This window comes from Homo sapiens, chromosome 13 (genome assembly GCF_000001405.40).
Source record: "Homo sapiens chromosome 13, GRCh38.p14 Primary Assembly".
In the NCBI taxonomy this organism is placed as follows: Eukaryota; Metazoa; Chordata; class Mammalia; order Primates; family Hominidae; genus Homo; species Homo sapiens.
Genome location: NC_000013.11, coordinates 106,369,533 through 106,384,949, shown reverse-complemented (window position 1 = coordinate 106,384,949; position 15,417 = coordinate 106,369,533). Strand labels below are relative to the sequence as shown.

General features: G+C 43.7%; 3 long non-coding RNA genes across 4 annotated transcripts in view, besides 4 other annotated features; 1 reads left to right on the top strand and 2 right to left on the bottom strand.

Annotated features, from left to right (window-relative positions):
• Positions 1-540: 540 nt before the first annotated feature.
• On the bottom strand, positions 541-3,863 carry LOC124903246 (uncharacterized). Its single transcript, XR_007063939.1, has 2 exons — positions 3,776-3,863; positions 541-2,050 (listed from the first exon to the last, which is right to left on the bottom strand). It is a non-coding gene; the product is annotated as an uncharacterized LOC124903246 (long non-coding RNA).
• Positions 3,864-6,354: 2,491 nt separating this feature from the next.
• LINC00460 (long intergenic non-protein coding RNA 460) lies at positions 6,355-8,386 on the bottom strand. Of its 2 annotated transcripts, none has more exons than NR_163477.1 (3): positions 8,285-8,386; positions 7,866-8,083; positions 6,355-7,042 (listed from the first exon to the last, which is right to left on the bottom strand). It is a non-coding gene; the product is annotated as a long intergenic non-protein coding RNA 460 (long non-coding RNA). The 2 variants fall into 2 exon arrangements; NR_034119.2 differs by lacking the exon at positions 6,355-7,042 and adding an exon at positions 7,158-7,750.
• Positions 7,649-8,848: an enhancer, noted in NCBI's record as "MED14-independent group 3 enhancer chr13:107028450-107029649 (GRCh37/hg19 assembly coordinates)". NCBI's record gives its function as "activates an origin of replication core promoter dependent on BRD2, BRD4, P300/CBP and CDK7 cofactors, and independent of MED14, by STARR-seq in HCT116 cells {active_cell/tissue: HCT116}" and the evidence as "EXISTENCE:reporter gene assay evidence [ECO:0000049][PMID:35650434]".
• Positions 10,525-10,984: an enhancer, noted in NCBI's record as "active region_7981". NCBI's record gives its function as "activates an Ori minimal core promoter by ATAC-STARR-seq in GM12878 lymphoblastoid cells {active_cell/tissue: GM12878}" and the evidence as "EXISTENCE:reporter gene assay evidence [ECO:0000049][PMID:35858748]".
• Positions 10,966-15,417, top strand: part of LOC107984626 (uncharacterized) — a 142,002-nt gene continuing 137,550 nt past the window's right edge. Inside the window, exon 1 of the long non-coding RNA XR_001750000.2 lies at positions 10,966-11,151. This is a non-coding gene — a long non-coding RNA (uncharacterized LOC107984626). The remainder of the gene's footprint in view (positions 11,152-15,417) is intronic.
• Positions 11,385-11,444: an enhancer, noted in NCBI's record as "active region_7980". NCBI's record gives its function as "activates an Ori minimal core promoter by ATAC-STARR-seq in GM12878 lymphoblastoid cells {active_cell/tissue: GM12878}" and the evidence as "EXISTENCE:reporter gene assay evidence [ECO:0000049][PMID:35858748]".
• Positions 11,815-12,109: a silencer, noted in NCBI's record as "tiled region #6229; HepG2 Repressive non-DNase unmatched - State 24:Quies". NCBI's record gives its function as "represses a minimal TATA promoter and a strong SV40 promoter by Sharpr-MPRA in HepG2 cells {active_cell/tissue: HepG2}" and the evidence as "EXISTENCE:reporter gene assay evidence [ECO:0000049][PMID:27701403]".

Genomic DNA, 15,417 nt, shown 5'->3' with positions numbered 1-15,417 from the left:
TTAGCGCACGAAAGGTTTAGTGGTGTTCGAGTCAGGAGTTGTGTTGTCTGTCCCTTCCCCTTCTTCTCTATGATCCCACATACGGCCTCCCCATACTGTGAGGGTATTTACATTAATATGTGAGAAAGTGGGGCCCTGGCCCACCTCAAAGGCCTCATCATTGCCACTTCTAATGCCCCGGGCACTCCATTCAGCCCAGAAGACTTAAGAGATGGAATAACCCAGAGGGAATGTGCTATTTACATATGAATCCCAGTCTCTGAATTCTAACAGAGCTGTGGGAGTTGTTTCCCAAACATGTAACCTTGTGCCCAGCCACCTTCTCCTCAAGTGACCAAGCCAAGGTCTTGCACGTGATCCCAAGTCAGCCATCCTGAAGCTGACCTGAAGCCAAGGAGCGGCCAGGCCTTAGACCCATAGGGTGGCTGAACAACTGGACCCTTGTTCAGGGACCGTGACCTACTCAGTGACCCACGGGGAGGGAATTAGGAGTTTTCCAACATGCAATAAACACCCAGAGAAAGCCTCAGACTCCATAAGCCCTGTTTAGATGTGCGACCGCTTTTTATTCTTTAAAAAGTTTTGATTTATTTTTATTACACATAATAGATGTACATATTTTCAGGGTACATGTGATAATTGAATACATTCATATAATGTGTAAAGATCAAATCAGTGTAATTGGCATATCCATCACCTTAAATTGTCTTTTCTTTATGCTAGGAACATTCTAATTATTATCTTCTAGCTATTTTGAAATATACAATAAATTAGTATTAACCAACTGCAGTTAACCTACGGAGATCACTTTTCTTCAAAAACATTTTCTTGACTTTTCTGTGTGTTTTATCTATTGTTGTACATTAATCTATTGCAAAAGTTAGTGGCTTAAAGTCACATGATTTCTCTGGATTCTGTGGGTCTGGAATCCAGGCAGGATCAGAACCTCTGCTCACTGTGTTCTCAGCTGGGCTGGCTGATTCACTGCATTCAGCTGAGTGTTGGGCAGAGCTGGAAGGTTCAGGCAGGCCTTACCCACCTGTCTGGCACCTCAGTGTCCCCCCCTTTGTGTAGCCAGCTTGGACTTCTCACAGCTGGTTACTGGGTAGGCAGGCTTCTTGCATGGTGACTGGCTTCTAAGAAGTAGGAAACAGAAGGCTTAAAGTCTAGGCTTGGAACAAGTCCAACTTCACCACTGTTACATTTCACTGTTGAAAGCAAGGTATGAGGCCAGTCGAAATACAAGGGAGGAGAAAAAAGGCCCTACCTTTGGTCATGGGGTGCAGCATGTACACAAAGAAAGGTAAGGAATTGATGGCCGCCGTCTTGGTTGACTGGCTACCACCCAGTGTGTTTCTGCAACAATAAACCTCGCCAACCAAGGTATCTTGAGCACATCTCTATTCCTTGCAATTCTACAGTGTCTGTCTAAGCCATTAGCTCCCTTAGCTGGTCATCCTTCCTCATGACCAACACCTATTCACTGGAGCCCTAATACATGCAAACATTCTGGGGAGGATCCACCAGCCAGAAAAAGATCATGCTCTAGTTAGGGATATATGAATACAAAGATTTAAAAAAATTCTACGAGCTAGCTTTTGAACGACAAAGCCTAAAAGTAGGGAAGGAAGGAACAAAAAAAAAGATGAGAATAAATTGAAAAGATATAAAGTGAAAGTTTCCCAAGAGAAAGCTAGGAGGATATCTCATTGTTTATCTAATGTGTATTAGGGAAAGCTCTTTTTGAATTGCTTTTCAAGAGAATGAATTTCTTAAGAGACCGAGAAGGTAGGACTCATTTCTTTTGAGGCTGATCAATACGAGTCTCATAGATTCAGTCACTTGCTGATTCTTGCTTCAGAGTGCCTTCTAAGGCCACCCCTATTCTTGGTAGTGGGGGAACCCTGCGAGTAATACAAGTTGTAACAGGTCCATTCTCACACATTGTATTGGAAGTTCCGAAGGAAGGCACTTTTCTTCTGTTATGGACTTGGCTAAATCAATGGAAACTCCATATTCTTTGTCTTCATTCTTCTTTCCTCGCCACTTCCTGCAATATCCCAGACACGTGAACCCACAGCCAACAAACAGCCCTGTGCCACCCACCAGGGGGAGATGAAAACAGCTCTGATGACACACTCCTCTAGCTCCTTCCCCGTCTTACCCCTGGGCTCACTTGTCACCAGCTATTACCAGCTGAAATGCATGGTGCCTCTCAGCAGGTGAGTTCTTCTGGCTTTATTTGAGGGTGAGGGCTTTTTGGTTTATTTTGTTTTTGTTTTGAAGGCCAACTCCCGTCTGGTGGCCATATGTAGCCATCTGGGCTTCCCATAAACCACCATAATGACAAGGCAGGACTCATAATATCATTTTCGTTTTCCATAGACAGGCTAATTTGAATTTAAGATATGGTGTGTTCAGCATGTTCAGAAGATGGGACCCTCAAATCAAGTTAACCTACTGTTAGATTTTTCTGCCATTCATCCACCCCAGGAGATCTTTCTGCTCCTGACCCTTTCAGCACCTCCTTGTCCCTGCGGTCCTAATTTGGGGGTAAGACTTGGCTCCCTTCAGGCCGTCTATCAATCATTTTTGCTCCTTATGCAAACACAGACAGTTTTGTCATTATTCTAAAAATAAGTGCTTTTAAGGAGGCTGGGAACCAGTTTCTCTTGTTCTGTTCTATAGCCATTTTTACTTGTAGCAGCAATAACAAGCCATGCCTACTGTTTTTCAATGTGGTAATATGGTTCTGTCTCTGATATAAACAACTCACCTTTTGGCCTTGCAGTTTACTCGCTGGGGAGCATGATTATTTTCTTTATTGCCTTGTAAAATAGCTTGCCTGTCACATTATAGCTTAATTGGGAACACAAAATAATAAATAATTTAAAACAAGGAAAATTGCTGTCTATATGGGGAGCTGAATAAAAACACGGCCCCGGCATATGTCCCTCTGGTGTCACTCAAGGGTTCTAGAACACAGGGCTTTAAATCATATTTGGCATCAAGCATGCCTTTGAAACTTTTCTGAACTTGTTTTTGCCTCCAATTTCCCAATAAAAATGGTTCAAATTATTTGTTTTTTTCCAAAGCAGATTGAACCTTTCTTGTCATCAGATTTGTTCAACAGAAAGGATGTTAATATTGCTCACCATTGACCCATCTGCAAAAGGGGGGACAGAATAGTAACTGCATGTCTGGGTGGCTGAAAGGACTGACAGGAGGAAATCCATGCAAAGTGGTGAGCAGAAGGCCTGGCACAGAGTAAAGACGGCAGAGATGTGAAGAATGGAGAAAGTCTGGTGCTTTTTTACACACATAAACATTTGGATGCAAATAGAACCAATGCCCCTCCCTGAAAAGATGGGTTTGGCCACTTAAAGAGCTTACCTCTGGGGAAAGGAAGAAAGGGTCTGGAGTGAGATATGGTCCCTTTCTCGTTGTTTACTCTGTGATGGCTATTTCATGTGTCAACTAAAGTCATGGGTAGGCTATGGTGCCCAGCTGTTTGGTCAAACTCTAGTCTAGATATTGCTGTGAATGTATTTTTTAGATGTGATTAACAATTACATTCAGTTGGCTTCGAGAAAAGCAGATTACCCTTTACAAGCTAGGCCCCTTCTTATCAGTTGAAGGCCTTAGGAGCAAACACTGAGGTTTCCTGGAGACCAGGAATGTTGCCTTAAGACTGCAGCATAAAAACCCTGCTTGAGTTCCCAGCCTGCCGGCTGCCCTTCAGATTTGGACTCAGGACTGCAATATCAATGCTTACCTGAATTTCCAGCCTGCTGGCTTTCTCTGCAGATTTCAGATTTCCAGGCCCCACAATCCCACGAGCCAATTCTTTAAAATACGTCTCTCTGCAGATATATAGATATAGATATACATGTACATCCTATTGGTTCTATTTTTCTGGAGAATCTTGACTAATCTACTACCCTTTTGTTCTATTTGAATTTATTTTTAACCATATTATTTCACAAAAGAAGATATTGGATTTCAGGGTAAGATAGATGTGGGGCAAACTCTTTGATGCCTCCTCATTCAATCTCTGAGCCATGCGATCATGGGGACTGCTAGTCGCACAGACAGTTTGGAAGCCACTGGAGTATGTCACCTTGTGGCTTCCAACCAGACATGTGCTAACTAGATTCCAATTCCAAGAGTTACTTTTGGCTCCCAAATTGTGTCAGTTGTAAAAATTTAAAATACCTTTTAGTGATAATCTGGGACCTATCATATATCATCAGGAAATCATTAAATTGCTGTAGTGGAATATGTGATATTGTCTATACAAGCACTTAATCTTTTGAAGTGCAGAGATGACTTTGGGGTATCCTAAGCAACTGTTTAATCTGAGTCATTAGTAGGGATAGATCTAGCCACTTAAGAGCTGTCTCATCCTGGCAAACCCCCTACCTTTCTGGGCCTCATTTCTTCTTGAAAATGAGAAAGTTAGAAGTAAGTTGTCTTTTAAATTTACTCTCAAGTTCCACAAAGTAAAAAGCCCCATGAATATTGCACTGCCTGGTTCAGCTGCTGTTATACACCCTTTGCAGCCAAAAGCAACTCTCTTCCTAGGAGCTTAGGCTCACAGGACTCATTGTGCTGAAGACAATGGGACGATGGCTTCAGCCCCTGGTTCTACTGTTTCTACTGGGTCTGAGGAGAGGATGAGGTGGTTTAACCAGCAATGGTTCATTAATCCAACACTAAGTGGGAAAGCAGAAGAGCCCTAAGGTTGAGGGACTTAGAAAAATGCCAAAATGTTGAACAGGAACAAAGTACAGATTAAGAGGAAAGCTTTATGCAAGAGGAACATGGATTTCTAGGCATCAAATGCCAGCATGATGCATAATTGGCAGTCTGTGCCTTGATCTGATGAACTTTGCTGATTGACACCATTATGTTGGAATCTACGGTAAGGCTCCTACCTCCATTCTGTGACTGTTTGGTTTTAGGCACATGCATGCATTATTTTACTGAATCTTTATGACCAAGCTATGAGATTGGTATTATTTTCCCATTTTTTTTCAAGTGATGATAGGTACTGAGGATCAGATCATTAAGTAACTTTCCTAGGGCCAGAATATTAAACTGGTAAGTGGTGGAGCTAAGATTCTATTTTTGCAACTCCAAAAATCCATAGATAATCATTTGTACGTCTGTGTTATGAATGATTGAAAAAAAATGAATAAGTGAATGCATATTTTGATTAGCTTGTTTGATAATTTACAGCAATAAATTACCCCATTATTTGTAGAACACATTTTACAATAATTTTCAGAACTGTACTTACACAGATGAGGTAGTACTCCCCAAAATGTGGAACTTTGGTATTGCAGGTTCGCTGAGCCCAGAAAGCCTGCAGAGCCAATACTGTCTTTTAGAGTCCGAGAATTTGGCCAAACAAGGGATGTTATCAGAGACATCACAGGGCCACCCATACATAAATGTTCATTACTCTAAATTCTTTTTTTTGGGGGGGATGGAGTCTCCCTCAGTCGCCCAGGCTGGAGTGCAGTGGCGCTATCTCAGCTCATGGCAAGCTCTGCCTCCCGGGTTCACGCCATTCTCCTGCCTCAGCCTCCAGCATTACTCTAAATTCTTTGTTCTGGGAATCGATGGTGAAAATCTCCCCCTTGAGTGTCAAGCTGTCACACTGGGTAGATGAGATAAGTCACATACACTTGCATCACTGCAATTGTCTCATGGTTAGTCATGCATGCTTGTTTTTAGGAATAGTTATTTGACAGAAGAATTCATGACCACAGGGCCCAACTCAGGAGTAGGCAGGCAGATGCCGAGGTGCTGCAAACAGAGGGATCTCATGGCCATACCGGTGGGAAAAACCAAAGTACTCCCAACCCTCTCCCCCACCCAACATCCTCCTCCTCTTTACTGAGAAAGCCTCTTTCTGAGAGATAGAGGAGGGACGTTGTCTCTAAAGAGGCAATGTTAAATTACACAGTTTTTCCTAGAACAACACAGGATTGTGAGGAGTGAGTTGAAGAGCGTCTTAGTCTGTTGTGTGCTGCTATGACAGAATAGCTGAAACTAGGTAATTTACAATAAGCAGAAATGTATTGGCTCATAGTCCCGAAAGTTGGGAAGGCCAATAGTAAGGTGCCGACATCTGGCGAGAGCCTTCTTGCTGCATCATCACATGGCAGAAGGTGAGGAGGTGAGAGAGGCAGGGGGCTAAGCTCACCCTTTTATACCAGCACCAATCCCACCCATGAGGGGGGCCCTGCATGGCCTTATCACCTCTCAAAAGTCCCACTTTCTAATACGGCTTAAATTTCATCATGAATTTGGGAGGGGACAAACATTCAAACCATAGCAGGCACCTTCCATTCTAGACTTTTGTTAGCATGGATTATTTTATCGAGTTGTACAGAGCAATTGTACAGAGACAAGGGCCCTAATGATTAACTGGGTACAGTGTTGCCGGTGGAGCAGAAGAGCTGGGCAGCAGCAGAGAGCAGCATCGGGCCAGGTCCAGTGCCTCAGTCAGGAGCTGGGCAAGAGTAGCCCAGAGTGTGCACAGATCCTCGGGCTTTTCCAAACAGGAAACCTGGGCATTCAATACTATGGATATTTTGAGGGGAGTGGCAAAATAAGGCAAAATATGTTAAAAATTTGAACTTGATCTCCATTAGAAGCATAGTAATCCTAGTTTTGAAAAACTTCAATCAAAATCATTCAGGTTTTTTAACAAGTTCTAGAAATACATTTTCTAAATGAAATATGAATTGGATGTAATACAGAAATGGCAACCACATGCCTCGTCTCTTCCCATCTGCTGTGTTTTCTGCAGCATGATGTGGTAGAAGGAAGCCTGGAAAAAGTGTCTTGGGTCATGAGTCCCCCACTCACTTGCTGTGTGGTCTTGGGCAAGTTTCATTTCTCTGAGGCTCGATGCCCTCATCTGTAAAATGAGGAGAGTGGAATGGATGATTTTTCAGTTTTTTTCTAGGTCTAAAACTCTGTGATTCTTCTGGAAGTTTTTTTGTTTGCTTGCTTTATCCTCTGCATTCTATTTCAATAGGAAAAGGGGAAGAGGAAAAGCAGAAAGAAAGAGCAAAAAAGAAAAAAATTAAAAGAGATCCAAATATTAAATAAGCCTCAATCAAGTATCAAGCACCATAGAATTAATAATCAGAAATTACTAATTTCTGATTAATAAATTACATTTATTAATCCTGATCATAAAGTAGGAAATACACAGTGTTATTGTCACCATTTCAGAGGCGTGGACTCCAAGGTTAAACGTTTGACCAAGGTTAAGTAGATGTCTTAGTCTATTTGGGGAGCTATGACAGAATACTTTGAAGTGGATGGCTCAGGAAAAACAAACTTCTTTGTCGTCATTTTGGAGGCTGGAAGTCCAGGATCAGGGTGCCAGCACAACTGGGTTCTGGTGAGGGCCCACGTTCTGGCTCATAGGTGGCCTTCTCGCTGTGTTCTACACTTCACATGGTAGACGGTGCAAGGGATCTCTCTGGGGCCCCTTTTATTCGGGCACTTATCTGGTTTTGAGGACTCTGCCCTCATGAGCCACTCACCTCCCAAAGGCCCCATCTATTAATACTATCTTATTGGCTATTAGGTCTTAGCATACGAATTTGGGTGGGGGACATAAACATTCGTTCTATAGCAGTAGTCAAGGTGATAATTTAACATAAATCGGGGTGACTTCAGAATGCGTCTTCTTTCCCACGCTCAGTCTTTCTACAATGCCACACTGTCTCCGGAAAGGGGTAGAAAAAAAAAGAGGAATAAAGTTAGACAGTGGGAGTGGAGAGGGAAGAAGAGACGTTGAGAGATCAGGGGAGACACATGTGACACGGACTACTCACAGTGATTCCAGCAATTGCTACACAGACGCCTCCCACACAATGGTCGTAACCTTCGTTCTCATCCACTGCGTGGGAAAGCTGCAACATGCTCCCCGCTGGCAATGGTGGTTCATCCAGGGTGACTCTTAGCCGAGAAGTGTGCATGCTGGGTCCAGCAGCGTCCACCAGGGGCACATGCGGAGTTTCATAACAATGTCTGGGTACCTCCGATGTCCTGGCTGGAGAAGGTTTAGAGACATAGCAAGGGAGACAGATGGATTAGGGAAGTGGGGAAGGACCAGACAGGTCTTTATTTCCCTACTCCTCTCCGTTATGTGTCTCTAAAATTAACACTGCAAGAACTATGCTAAGAAGCAAGCTTTTATGTTATAAGAATTAGAGCCACCAAATCAACCCTGTGCACATGGCACTTCCGTCACCTCATGCTGTGACCTCTCATAGGTCTCGGTCCCCCAGGTTTGAGGAGATGAGTCCCCCTGGCTGAGGCATTTCTAACAGGGCTGGAGGATTTCTGCAGGAAGTGGTTACCGGTGAGTCAGGATCTGGCGTTCATCCCTCTGAGTCAATAATGAGCCGATTTCTCAGTGGGTTAGGAACAAGTGGAGATGGAGTCTTAAATAAGTGGCAAACCTACCGCGAGCTCTCCCGGCACCTTCTCTCCGGGCAAGGAGGTTAATGCCAACGTGTTTCCTCAGTCCCAATTTGGGTCATTATATTTTTAATTATCTCTGAATTATCCCTATAGATTCAACAGGATACATTATCTTCCATTTCCTACCTTTAACTTGAAAGCACTGATGTGCTGCTTAGGCTGGTGACTGTTGAACAAAGCAACTTCTCCAAACCTTGCCTACCCTCTTCTCCACTCTCGCCCGCAATTCCCTCACCTTTTCTCCTGACGTCCCTCTCTTGAGTCCTAAATAACGGCCTTAAAGAAAAGCAAATGCAGCCGGGCACAGGGGCTCATATTTGTAATCCCAGCACTTTGGGAGACGGAGGTGGGTGGATCACTTGAGGCCAGGAGTTCGAGACCAGCCTGGCTAACATGGCTAAACCCCTCTCTACAAAAATTAGCCGGGTTTGGTGGCTCATGCCTGTTATTCCAGCTACTCAGGAGACTGAGACAGGAGAATCGCTTGAACCTGGGAGGCAGAGGTTGCACTGAGCTGAGATCGGGCCACCGCACTCCAGCCTGATTGACAGAGTGAGACCCCATCTGAAAAAGCAAAAAAGGAAAGGCAAATATGGCTGGGCGCGGTGGCTCACGCTTGGAATCCCAGCACTTTGGGAAGCCGAGGCGGGCGGATCACGAGGTCAGGAGATCGAGACCATCCTGGCCAACACGGTGAAACCCTGTCTCTACTAAAAATACAAAAAATTAGTCAGGTGTGGTAGCGGGCGCCTGTAGTCCCAGCTGCTCGGGAGGCCGAGGCAGGAGAATGGCGTGAACCCGGGAGGCGGAGCTTGCAGTGAGCCGAGATCGCGCCACTGCTCTCCAGGCTGGGTGAAAGAGCGAGACTCCATCTCAAAAAAAAAAAGAAAGGCACATGGCGGGTGTTGGTCTCCCTAATGAATTCATTTGCCTTTTGTTGGTTCCTGAAGACAGAGAGAGAGAGACAGAGGCCACACAGAGAAAACTGGGAAGGGCGAAGGCTGCGTGTCCCCTGCTCAACCTCCCTGCGTCCGGAGGGAGCGGAATCGGGAATCTCTTAGCGAAAGGCAGGACCCGCAGGACTGGCTCACAGGGCTGGGGCTGGAGGGGACTTGGTGAATGACTGCTCTCTGAATTCCCTCCCTGCTTGAACTCGGGCCCTCCTCTCCTCTTCGCGTCTCCCAGGGAAAGCAGTACCCCGTGGAAAGGGAGAGCGCCTCTGCTATGCGCGCACAGGGACTCACCGAGGCACATAGCGTCCTGGCATGGAGAGGCGAGCGCTGGGGTCCGGCCTGCTGGAAAGGAAGAAGAATGGAGAAGAAGGAGGAAAGTCCAAGGAGAAGCCTCACCCGCATAGCTCATTTTGGGAAAGCTGGCCTGCCCTGCCACAAAGAGGTGCTGGGGAAGTGTGTCAGCTGAGGGGCCCTTAGGGAGACCTCTGGTCCCCGAATGAGCCTCTCAGCCGACTCCTCCTTAGCTTGTTGCTGATCCTGTCCCAGGATTAACATAGACCAGGGTCTCTCAACCTCAGTGCAATGGACATTCTGGGCCAGGTAATGCTGTGCCGTGCGGGCTGCCCCGGGCACTGTGCGAGGCACAGCGGCACCCTGGCTCTACCCGGGAGATGTCATGAGCACCGCTTCTCCCACAGTGACAACCAGAGGGGTCTCCAGACGTGGCCAAATGAGAAGCACTGATTAAGACCTATTCCTAGGCCAGGCATGGTGCCTCAAGCCTGTAATCCCAGCACTTGGGAGGCTGACATGGCAGAATCACTTGAGCCCATGAGTTCAAGAGCAGCCTGGGCAGAAGAGTGAGACCCTGTCTTTACAAAAATGTAAAAATTAGCTTGCTGTGGTGACATGTGCCTGAAATCCCAGCTACTTGGTCAGCTGAGGCTGGAGGATTGCTTGAGCTCCAGAGGTAGAAGCTGCAGTAAGCTATGATTGCATCATTGCACTCCAGCCTGGGGAACACAGTGAGACTCTGTCTCCAATGAAAAAAAAAAAAAACCAGAAACCAAAATCCAGCCAGAAAAGAGAATTATTGCTTCCTTTCTAGACCACATGAATGGACTTTTCTTATTTAAGATGTACGCAAAGCAACTATAACCATTCAAACCACTCTTCACTTACACAGGGAGAGGTTAAGGACTTTCAAAGAAAAGCAGATCAGACCCTGACGGCCCAGGGCTTCCTAAAGCAGCCTCCTGGGGCAGGGCCTACAGGTGAGCAGACATAAGGAGCCGTGGCCCAGAGAACACCCTCAAAGGGTGACTAACAGCCCCGGTTTGCCTGGGACTTTCCTGTGTTAGCCCTGGAAGTCCCTTTGTCCTGGGAAGCCCCTCTGCCTAGGGCACATGGGGACAGTGGTTAGTGGGTAGGCTCTGTGTTTGGCTGTCATTCAAGGTGGCTTTGGCTGCTTGCTTGTCATTCTGAGTGTGGGGACACACATGCTACCCTGGTTGTCAGCAGGTGAGAAGGGGGCTCTGATCAGCTTCTCACTGGATTTAGAGAAGAGCAGATGCCCCTGATCAGCTTCTCACTGGATTTAGAGAAGAGCAGATGTCCCAGACTTGTAGCTGCCATTGCCTCTCTCTTTCGGAAAATGAGAGTTGCTAAGAGGTGAGATCAGGTGAGCAGGGACCTGTTCTTGACTCTTGCTGAGACAGTGCCTGGTGTCTGTTCATGCTGGGACCCAGGGTGGCTTCCATAGGTACACAGGTCCACATGCGAGAACTGGTGGCAGGATGGGTAAGGAAGGCCAACTGTGTGTGTGCATGTTTATGTGTGTGTGTGTGAGATTCACACTAGAAAGCTGCTTTGCCACCTGCCACAGGTGAGGCTGTGACTCCTCCTTGCCCTCCATGTCACTGAAGCCGTGGTTGCAGAGGTCCCTCGGGGCTTGTGAACTGCTGCAAGCACTTCAAGTCTGGGGACCGTCTGTTTCCTGCCTGCTGTTTATGACCCAGAACATTGCCTCTAGAACTAGGCTGCACTTCAGTCCCGCTGGGAGCATGCTTGCCACTCATATCTTCCCTGCGCTATTTGCAGTTTTTGTTTGTCTTAAATATAAACTTTTCTTGGTTCTTTAAGTTTTAAAGAAAAGAAACTCTTCTCTTTCTTGAAGGAGAAAAGATTGATTTTTTTCCTCCTTAAATTATGTGGATAGAGATATGTCTGTACTTGATTAGTCTCATGTGTACCAAAATGTCATTACTTATAGGAGAGCCTGGGATTTTCAAGAATAGTAACATGGTAATTTGTCTTTCAAATACTGTTTTACTTATAGCAGCAATAACAGGAAATGTGTACTATTTTTCAGTGTTATAATCTGATTCACCCTTTGATATAAACAGCTTTATCTCATCTCATTGTTTATATCACATTCCTATTCCTCTGGAAAGAACAATATTTTTCTCTCTGAAAAGTAATATATTCTTGTCTAAGGATGGCTTAAATAAGTAACAGATGGTCCTTTTTGTGTGAGTGTCCCCTACCCCCACTCATTCCCAGCATTCGGTCAGACAGGAAAATCAGTATTTTTTTGGACATTACATGTGCCTGAACTTACAGGTTTGTCACCAACTTGATGTCTTTTATTTCTGTGATGGTGTTGTTACTCGGATAGTTTTAGAATATAGGCAATTGAGTAAATTTATTTGTGCTTGTCAAGTGGAATGTGCTTGAACAAATCTCTTTCCTGGTTCATAGTTACCCAGGTTAGTCATGGAAAAGATGGACTGGAATGCTCAGTGTGTGCCACATGGTCTTGGCTATAAAATAGAGTTCACTGTACACCAGGCTCTCACCATGCAACTTATTTATAACACAGTTCTATTGTTAAAATTCGTTCTGGGACCAGGACTAAATCTTTCTTGTCAAAAAATAAGGTTCATTCCTTGGCTTGGTTCAGGGGAAAGGCATACAATTAGAAGCCGGGACATCTCCTTTGCTGTCTTGCTAGCTGGGTGAGTTAAGGCAAGGGCACGTGGCCGCCTGGGTCTGTTTCCTGTCTGCAGGAGGAGGATGCCTAACTTACCACAAGGGCTATTGAGAATGTAACATGGGGTAATAGTTATGAAAGTGCTTTGAAAGTTCAAAAGCACCTAAAATAGCATTTTTTAAATATTAAAATCAAGCAATTAAATACGTTGCATAACAATAGACTCTTGTCTATAACATCATGGTTAATAGGTTGGCCTTGCTGTCAAATGAAATTCTTTGAAAAGATGTCTTTTCTTTGTAAGGGGAGCTTCAAGGAAAGAAACACAATATGCATAAGAGCCCTACTGCGAACTTGTAGAAACTGCCACTCTGATGGGGGGATTGGTGCTGATTCATTTTTGCGCTTGAGCATCAGAGTCCTTTGAGCCTAGTAGGCCCTTAAGTATATTTTAAACAAAAACATGATTATCGTTGTGGATAAGCTATTTGTGCTCTCCATTATCTATTTTTATAAGTGTGAAAAATGATCTTTTTTTCCCTACTAGACAGAAAGTCGAGAACATGATCCCTTATGTTGACATCTTCTCTATCTGCTTGTTTTTATGGTCTGCAAATGACATTTTTTGCATGCACCATTACAAAGTCTGTATGTGATTATTGTTGAAAATTTGGGCCAGGCGCAGTGGCTCATGCCTATAATCCTAGCACTTTGCAGGGCCGAGGGTGGCTGGATCCCTTTAGCCCAGGAGTTCAAGACCAGTCTTGGCAACATGGTGAAACCTTGTCTCTACCCAAAATACAAAAAGTAGCCAGTTTCATAACCTGATCTCAAAATAAATAAGTAAATAAATAGATTAAAATGTAAAATACAAGAAAAATTGAAAAATACAGATGTACAGAAAAGAAATAAGCACCCATTATCCTCCAGGTGTCCCATGGTCAGATCTCCCACATATATGGTAGCATAGAAAGGGGCAAGTCACATAACAATATTTATTATGATAGCAATTACATAAAGAAAATATATGTGTACATATTTATATGGATTCTGATGCATCTATATTTGTATGTGTATGTCTATGAATGGATAATAAACATATAGAAAGGATGCATTGGAATGCACAGATTAAATCTAGAGAGTAAGTAGACAGAGACATTCAGAGGAGAGAGGAATCCTTGCAGGCAGGAATATGTGGGAGCTTTATGGAGGAGGCTGCATTTGAGATGAGACTGGGAGGACTCGTACGACTTTGATAAGTACAGAGTGATCGGAAGCATCTTCCCATCAGAGCAGTAGATGAAGAAAGCGTGGTGTGAGGCCTCTGTGCAGTGTGTTTGAGGGTATATGAGTAGTCCGGTCTCTCAGTGCACTGTAGAGAGGTGAGAGAGCCTCTTGAAAACCTGGACTAGAGAGGCTGGAGGAATGGGAAAGCCAATTTCAAACAGTGGGAATCAACCTTTGAAAGCTTTGGGTGAGTGAAATAAAACATTACGATTTTTTGAAGACCAATCAGGTGCTGTTTAAGTAGAACGAATTAGAGTTAGTGGAGATGAGAGGTAGTAAGGAAAATAAGAAAAGGATTGATAATCTGGGTCTGAAATGACTGATCACTGGAGAAAGATAAAGCCACTGGAAGTGGAATGGAAGACATTCTGAAGAAGTCATCACACTTGGTGCCCGATAAGAAAGAGGTACACAGAAGAAGAAAGGACCTAAGGTGTGAGCTACAGCATCTTAAGTCTAAAGGACCATTTGAGGTGCTGTTGCTATTGCCAGAAGCAGGGAAGACAGAAGCTATATTCTATATAAAAAATGTATTATATTTTTTACTGGAAAAGATCTAAATGTCAGGAGTTGGTATGTGGTTTAAATTGTCAAGATTTTAGACTGCTGCTTCTTGGAAGTGTGATATAAAATGCTGTAATGTGGTATGTTGCTGCAAATTAGGTTTATTGATTTGGTATTGTCAAGAAATATAACACCTCAAAAATAGGCAGACTGGGGAAAAGGATACCCCACTGGCAAGTGTGGGTGCCACTGTATGATTTTCTAGCACCAAAACGCACGACAAGCTAGCAGTGTTGGTGCTGGTGCAGATTACATGGAAAGCACCCTGTTGTTTTTCCAAGCCCATTGGCTGGGAAATTTATGTCCACCTGCCGTCTGCACCTTGACACTGGCCATTTATAAGGCATATGGCGGTTCTTCATGGCACGTGGGAGAATAGATGACCCTCTCTATTTTTTTTTTTTTGACAAATGGGTTTCACAGGTATATAATAAGATCTTGATTTACTTTTTTAAGGAAAAAGAGGATAATAATAAGAGGCTGTGATTTGAGGGTGAGAAACAAAAGGGCAGCTCCAGGGAGGGTAAGGCAGGAAAGACCAAGAAGAGAGATCTCGAAATCTACTGGCTTCCTGCAGTGCTTGTGGCTTATTGTTCCTGGCCCAACAGAATCTTCAGACTAACACAGCTGTCCTTTCATGGCAGGAGATATTTGAGAATCTGGTGGGAAATTTTGTTTTTTAGTACACTCAGGTTGTTTGCGGCAGCTTGCTTACATTTTTCTGTCACTTATGTAGCTGAGATAATGTGAAATATTTTTTATCAATTAAATTAATATATACTATGAAACAGATACAAATTTAACATGTTTAACAATGAAGTATAGCTTTAAAATATCTTTTAAAAATCACAAGTTAGAATAGTTGTGATCACAATCAGAAGTATTTTTTTTTTACAGTAAGAATAACTAATATATTTATTGCTATTATCATCTTTTTCTGAACAAAGTTATTGGACCTTTAAGAATTATACTTTAAAATCATTAATTATACTTAAAATCATTAAGATGAAAGTTGATTTCTTATCTTTTGGTATGAATAAAGAGAGTATTTCTGGAATTGTAAGCAGAAGTAGGCAAGGAATATATTTCAATTTTTAAAGTATT